Consider the following 7,920-nt stretch of genomic DNA (forward strand, 5'->3'; position numbering starts at 1 on the left):
ATTCTTGTATTATATGATAGTTTTGATCTTATTTTTTTTGTGAGATCTCTTTTGTTTTTCATAATGGCTGTCCTCATTTACATGAAAACCAACAGTGTGCAAGCATCCCCTTTTCTTCACTTCTATGCCAACACTTTATTTTTATTTTTATTTTTTTGAGACGGAGTCTCGCACTTGTTGCCCAGGCTGGAGTGCAATGGCACAATCTTGGCTCACCGCAAGCTCTGCCTCCCAGGTTCAAGTGATTGTCCTGCCTCAGCCTCCCGAGTAGCTGGGATTACAGGCATGTGCCACCACGCCTGGCTAATTTTGTATTTTTAGTAGAGACAGGGTTTCTCCATGTTGGTCAGGCTGGTCTTGAACTCCTGACCTTAGGTGATCCACCCGCCTCGGCCTCCCAAAGTGTTGGGACTACAGGCATGAGCCACTGTGCTTGGTCACTTTTATTTTTAATAAAAATCATTTTAACAGTAGTGAGCTGATACCTTGTAGTTTTTTTTTTTTTTTGGCATGCCTTTCTCTGATAACAATTGACATTGAGCATTTTTTAATATATTTGTTGGACATGTATATGTCTTGAAATATATTTAAGGTTTTTGCTCATTTTTAGTAGTTATTTGTTTTCGTTGTATAGTTATTTGAGGTTTTTTTTTTTTTTTTTTTTTTTTTTTTTTTTTTTTGAGACAGCGTTTCTCTCTGTATCCTAGGCTGGAGTGCAGTGATGCGATCATGGCTCACTGCACCCTGGACCTCCCAGGTTCAAGTGATCCTCACACCTCAGCCTCTTAAATAGCTGGGACTACATGCATACACCACCAGCCTGGCTAATTTTTTTTATTACTTTTTGTAGAGACAGGGGTCTCACTGTGCTGCCCAGGCTGGCCTTGAACTCCTGGGCTCAAGCAGTTCTCCCACCAGGGCCTTCCAAAGTGCTGGGATTACAGGTGTGAGTCACTGTGCCCAGCCGAGAATGCTTTTTTTTTTTTTTTTTTTTGAGACGGAGTCTTGCTCTCTCGCCCAGGCTGGAGTGCAGTGGCGCGATCTTGGCTCAGTGCAAGCTCCTCCTCCCGGGTTCACGCCATTCTCCTGCCTCAGCCTCCCGCGTAGCTGGGACTACAGGCGCCCGCCACCACGCCCGGCTAATTTTTTATATTTTTAGTAGAGACGGGGTTTCACCGTGTTAGCCAGGATGGTCTCGATCTCCTGACCTCGTGATCCACCCGCCTCGGCCTCCCAAACTGCTGGGATTACAGGCGTGAGCCACCGCACCCGGCCCCCCTTTTTTTTTTTTTTTTTGAGTTGGAGTCTTGCTCTGTTGCCAGGCTGGAGTGCAGTGGCGCGATCTCGGCTTACTGCAACCTCTGACACCCTAGTTCAAGCGATTCTCCTGCCTCAGCCTCCCAAGTAGCTGGGATTACAGGCACGCACCACCATGCCCAGCTAATTTTTGTATATTTAGTAGAGACGGTTTCGCCATGTCCTCGGCCTCGGCCTCAGCCTCTCAAAGTGCTGGGATTATAGGCATGAGCCACTGTGCCCGGTCTTGAGTTTCTTATATATTTTTTATATTAAGCTCTTGTCGTGTATGATTTGCAAATATTTTGTCTGTTTTTTAGTTGTTTCATTCTGTTTTACCAGATTCTGTGCAGCAGCTTTTTAATTAAAAGTAATCTGAGTAATCAATTTTTCCTTTGGTTATCTGGGATTTTGATGTTAAATAAAAAAATTCACTGCCCAAATCAATGTTATTATGCTTTCACTCTATATTTTTTGTACTAATTTTAGAGTTTCAGGCCTTACATTTAAGAACCTAATTTATTTTGAGTTGATTTTTATATATGGTGTGAGATTAGGGTCTCATTGCTCTGTATGTGGGTGTAAAGTTTCCTTAACCATTTATTGAAAATACTGTTCTTTCCCTAAGAAATTGTCACCCTTACATTTGTGTAAAATGTGTTTCGTTTCTTCCTTTAATGTTCTTTAGATTATAATGTACAGGTCTTTCAACTTTTTGGTTAAATGTATTTCAAAGTATAGTTACTAGATTATTTGTAGATGGGATTGTTTTTAAATTTCATTTTGATATATTTATTACTGTATAGAAATGCTACTGAATTTTAGATATTGCTTTTGTATTCTGTGAGTTTAATGAATTTGTTTATTATAATAGCTTTTGGTAAAGTCTTAGGCTTTTCTATACTTAAGATTATGTATAGAAATAAAAGGTTATTAAACAGGGATAATTTAACTTACTTTTTCCAATTTGGATGCCTTTGGTTTTATTCCCTTCTCTGTTATATTTAGTAAGACTAAAAAAAGTGCACATTCTTGCCTTGTTCTAGCTCTTAGAATAAAATCTTAAACTTTTTTTGTTTATTTAGTATGTTGTTAGCTGTGCATTTTTTTGTTACATATAGCATTTATCAGCTTGAGGTGCAATGCTGCTATACCTAATTTTTTCAGAGATGTATTATGAGGGACTGTTGAATTTTGTCAAACTTTTATTCTGCATCTGTTAGTAGAGTTGTGAAATCACAACTAATTCTACATAAATACCAAACATTCTCAGAGACTTGTACGAACATCTCTGTGCATTCAAAGTACAAAATTTAGAGAAAATAGATAAACTGAATACATACAACTTCCAAGTTTGAATCAGGAATAAACAGAAGTCTTGAGAGCAAAAATGCATAAAATTGTATAATGAATTAGTAATTAAAAGAAACCCTACCAACCACAAAAAGCCCTGGATCAGATGAATCTGCAGAAAATTTTACCACGTATGCAAAGATGAGCTGGTCCTAATCATACTGATTGTATTCCAAAAAAAATCATGGTGGGATTCCACCCTAACTTATTACATAAAATTAGTATCATGTTGCTCTCAAAATCTAGTGAAGACAGAACAACAAAAACAACTACAGGCCTATATTCCTGGTGAACATAGAAACAAAAATCCTCCATGAAATACTAGGAAGCTGAGTTCATAAGCAAATAAAGTTACTTTGCCACAGTCATATGAGCTTTATTCTATGAATGCAATAATGTTTCATAATATGCAAGTCAATAAGTGTAATTCACCATGTGAAGGTAATTTTAAGCAAAAAAGTATATATCACAATATATGCAGAAATAGCATTCAAGAAAATTAAATATTGACTGATGAACATATTCGCAAAAAACCAGGCATTCAAGAAACATACCTCAAAATAATAAGAGGCATCTATGACAAATCCTCAGCCAACATCATACCGAACAGGAAAAAGCTGGACGCATTCTCTCTAAAAATAAAAATAATACAAGAATATTCACTCTAAACCGTCCTATTCAACATGATTCTGGAAGTCCTAGCAAGAGCAATTCAAAAAAGAAAGAAAAGGAATCCAAATTTTCTGCACTGATGATATAATTCTTTTTCTAGAACCTTTAAGATTAGACCAGAAGACCCCTCTGCCTAATAAAAGACTAAAGCAAAGTCTTAGGATACAAAATTAATATACAGAAATGAGTAGCATTTCTGTACACCAGTAACATTCAAGCTGAGAAAAAAAAATCAAGAAGAGTTCCATTTACAGTAGCCACAAAGAAAAAACAATATACATAGAAATGCATTAAAGAAGTAAAATATCTCTACAAGGAGAACGTAAAACACTGCTGAAAAAAACAGAGACAAAGCAAATAAATGGAAAAGCATTTCATGCTCATGAATTTGAAGAATCAACACTTAAAATGTTCATGCTGCATAAAGCAAGCTACAGATTAAGTCCTTTTTCTATCAAACTATCAATGACTTTTTTTAAATAGAATTAAGAAAAGAAGGCTGCATGCAGTGGCTCACGCCTGTAATCCCAGCACTTTGGGAGGCTGAGGTTGGCGGATCACTTGAGGTAGGAATTTGAGACCAGCCTGGCCAACATGGTGAAACCCTATCTCTAAGAGTTACAAAAAAAAAAAAAAAAAAAAAAAAGACAGGTATGGTGGTGCATGCCTGTAATCCTAGCTACTCGGGAGGCTGATGGGAGGATTACTTGAACCCGGGAGACAGAGGTTGCAATAAGCTGAGAATGCCACTGCACACTCCAGACTGGATGACAGAGTGAGACTCCTTCTAAAAAAAAAAATTAAAATATATATGGAAGAATAAAAGAATTCAAATAGTCAAAGCAACTTTAGATAAAAAGGACAAACCTGGAGACCTTACATTACTTATCTTTAAACTGTACTATAAGCTACAGTAATCAGTATAACATGGTTCTGGTACAAAAATATACATATAGAGCAATGGAAAAAAATGAGAGAGCCCTGAAATAAAGCTACACTACTCCAACTTATTATTGAAAAAGTGTACAGAAATAAAGGAAAAATAACTTCCTATGCAATAAATGGTAGTGGGAAAACTGGCTAGTCATATGCAGAAGAAAATTGAATCCCTACCTCATATCATAAGAAATATAACAAGATAGATTAATAACTGTGAGTCTTCAAGCTACAAAAATCCTAGAAGAACATCTAGAAAGTACATTTCTAGACACTGGCCTCTAGAAATAATTTATGACTAACACCTTAAAAGTGAATGCAACAAAAATAAAAATTTTAAAATGGCACCTAAGTAAACTAAGGAGCTTTTGCACAGTAAAAAGCTATCAACAAAGTAAACATAGAGCCTACAGTGTGGAATAAATTATTTGTATACTGCATACCACAAAGGATTAATACATGGAATCTATAAGATTTAATAAGAAAGTAGACAAGTGATGTAAATACTTCTCAAAGGAAGACATAAAAGCTGCCAATAAACATGCAGAAAATTGCACAAGATCTCTAATCAGAGAGACGGAAAATTTTGGAGAGAAGAAAATCTTTATAAACTGTTGGTGAAAATGCAAATTCAGCCCCTGTGAAAGTTTCTACATTTTTCAAATAACTAAAGATAGAATTGCCATTTGACCCATTAACCCCTTTTTTGGGTATCTACCCGAAGGAAAATATTTTACTAAAATGACACCTGTACTTACATGTTGATTGCAGCACTATTTACAGTGGCAAAAACCTTGAAAAACTATAGGGTATGATGTACACTATGTGGGCAATGGAATTATTAAATGTGCAAGCCTCAACATCCTGATGTATACAGGTTACAAATCTGCACATGTACCACTTGAATCTAAGATAAAAATAATAAAATGTTTTGTGGTATAATGGCATGTTACATTTCTCCAGTTCTGAATTAGTAGTTGGAATTAGGGGTGAGAGAATTATTTGCCCCTTAGGGCATAAGGGTAAATGTTTTTATACCAGGTCTCCCCACACTCTATAAGCTAGCCTCTCTGAAAGCTCTTGGGCTATATAGCTCAAGAAGTGTTTTATTCCCAAGTATGCAGATAAAATAAAAGACCCTACATCTTTATTTTTTATGTATCAACTGTACATTAGACTATAGAGTTAATTTGTTAGTCTACTCTTTTGGGGGAAAAATGGTAAGTGGTTTAATCACATTAAAAATTTTTTTAGAAAATGTGAGGTTGTGAAAATCATGGTTAATTCCTTAATTAGGAAAATAAAACATTTTTCTAAAAAAATGCATAAAAGTCTAATGTCCATAGCCTAAGAACAATGAAACAGAGACTGTGGTTTATTTAAGACCACACTGCTGCAAATGCTTATTCCATCACAAGAAATAGAAACAATGGGTCAGAAGGTGTTTTCAGAGTACTTTTCTTAATCTATTGCAGTGTTTAAAGTTTGGTCTTTATTATCTCCTATATAAGTCTGTACTTAAAAAGCCATGAATTTTATGTTAATATGCTCACACAAATATTTTTCCTAGAAAAGTACTAGTGTGTTTGCAATGAATGTGTAGCATTTCTGGCCTACCTTGTGCTGCTGTGTTTGTGTGAAATTAGAAGACAGGAAATAAAGCAGAGTTGACCATGACATTTCTAGTTTCTACAACCACACCATCTGAAATGTAGTGTTATGTCAACAATAAATAATGACAGTATTTCAAAATATAGAAACAAATTGATACTTTATATATTTAGTTTTTTATAGTTTATAAAAATTTGTAGTTTCTGAATTATTATAAATTAAACAACTTGAACATGAAGATACCTAAAAGTTTTATCTAAATGATAGTATTAAAATTGTAATAGCTTATGATTGTGAGTCACAATTGCCCTATTGGGTTTACTGGAAAGTAGTTATTTATCTTCTAATAGTAGATAGAGAATAGGTTTTTATAATCCTAAGGATACAGATTTTTTTTTTGAGACAAAGTTTCATTCTTGTTACCCAAGTTGGAGTGCAATGAAACAAATCTTGGCTCACTGCAACCTCTACCTGGCAGCTTCAAGCGATTCTCCTACCTCAGCCTCCCAAGCAGCTGGGATTACAGGCATGTGCCACCACACCCAGATAATTTTTGTATTTTTACTAGAGACAGGGTTTCACCATGTTGGCCAGGCTGGTCTCAAACTCCTGACCTCAGGTGATCTGCCCACCTTGGCCTCCCAAAGTGCTGGGATGACAGGTGTGAGCCACCGTGCCCAGCCCAGATCTTTTAAAATTAGTACTGCTTAGATTTGTACAAAATTCATAGGCTTGCAGTAGCAGAAATTTTAATATTTTTTTCTAATAGAAGAGAAAAAGTGGCTGGGCATGATGGCTCACACCTGTAATTCCAGCACTTTGGGAGGCCGAGGCAGGTGGATCCCCTGAGGTCAGGAGTTCGAGACCAGCCTGACTAACATGGTGAAACCCTGTCTCTACTAACAATACAAAAATTAGCCGGATGTAGTGGCGGGTGCCTGTAATCCCAGCTACTTAGGAGGCTGAGGCAGGAGAATCGCTGGAACCCAGGAGGCGGAGGTTGCAGTGAGCCGAGATTGTGCCATTGCACTCCAGCCTGGGTGAAAGAGCAAGACTCAGTCTCAAAAAAGAAAAAGAAACAAAAAATCAATAAAATTAATTTTTTAAAATAAGTTTAAAAGAAACTTCATATTTGTTCATTTTTTTTTTTTTTTATTGATCATTCTTGGGTGTTTCTCGCAGAGAGGGATTTGGCAGGGTCATAGGACAATAGTGGAGGGAAGGTCAGCAGACAAACAAGTGAACAAAGGTCTCTGGTTTTCCTAGGCAGAGTGTTTGTGTCCCTGGGTACTTGAGATTAGGGAGTGGTGATGACTCTCAAGAAGCATGCTGCCTTCAAGCATCTGTTTAACAAAGCACATCTTGCACCGCCCTTAATCCATTTAACCCTGAGTGGACACAGCACATGTTTCAGAGAGCACAGGGTTGGGGGTAAGGTCATAGATCAACAGGATCTCAAGGCAGAAGAATTTTTCTTAGTACAGAACAAAATGAAAAGTCTCCCACGTCTACTACTTTCTACACAGACACAGCAACCATCCGATTTCTCAATCTTTTCCCCACCTTGCCCCCTTTTCTATTCCACAAAACCGCCATTGTCATCATGGCCCGTTCTCAATGAGCTGTTGGGTACACCTCCCAGACGGGGTGGTGGCCGGGCAGAGGGGCTCCTCACTGCCCAGTAGGGGCAGCCGGGCAGAGGCGCCGCCCCTCACCTCCCGGACGGGGCGGCTGGCCGGGCGGGGGGCTGACCTCCCCACCTCCCTCCCGGATGGGGCGGCTGGCCGGGCGGGGGGCTGACCCCCCACCTCCCTCCCGGGGGCAGCTGGCCTGGCAGGGGCTGACCCCCCCACCTCCCTCCCAGGCGGGGTGGCTGCCGGGCGGAGACGCTCCTCACTTCCCAGATGGGGTGGCAGCCAGGCAGAGGGGATCCTCACTTCTCAGATGGGGCAGTTGCCGGGCGGAGGGGCTCCTCACTTCTCAGACGGGGCGGCCGGGCAGAGACGATCCTCACCTCCCAGATGGGGTCACGGCCGGGCCGAGGCGCTCCTC

The 7,920-nt window shown here is 38.9% G+C and overlaps 1 annotated feature.

Moving 5' to 3' along the window:
- Positions 6,947–7,718: an enhancer, noted in NCBI's record as "NANOG-H3K27ac hESC enhancer chr19:23053617-23054388 (GRCh37/hg19 assembly coordinates)". NCBI's record gives its function as "activates a minimal SCP1, AML or CMV promoter by ChIP-STARR-seq in primed H9 embryonic stem cells {active_cell/tissue: H9 hESC(primed)}" and the evidence as "EXISTENCE:reporter gene assay evidence [ECO:0000049][PMID:30033119]".

The sequence above is a fragment of the Homo sapiens genome, chromosome 19 (genome assembly GCF_000001405.40).
Source record: "Homo sapiens chromosome 19, GRCh38.p14 Primary Assembly".
Classification (NCBI taxonomy): Eukaryota; Metazoa; Chordata; class Mammalia; order Primates; family Hominidae; genus Homo; species Homo sapiens.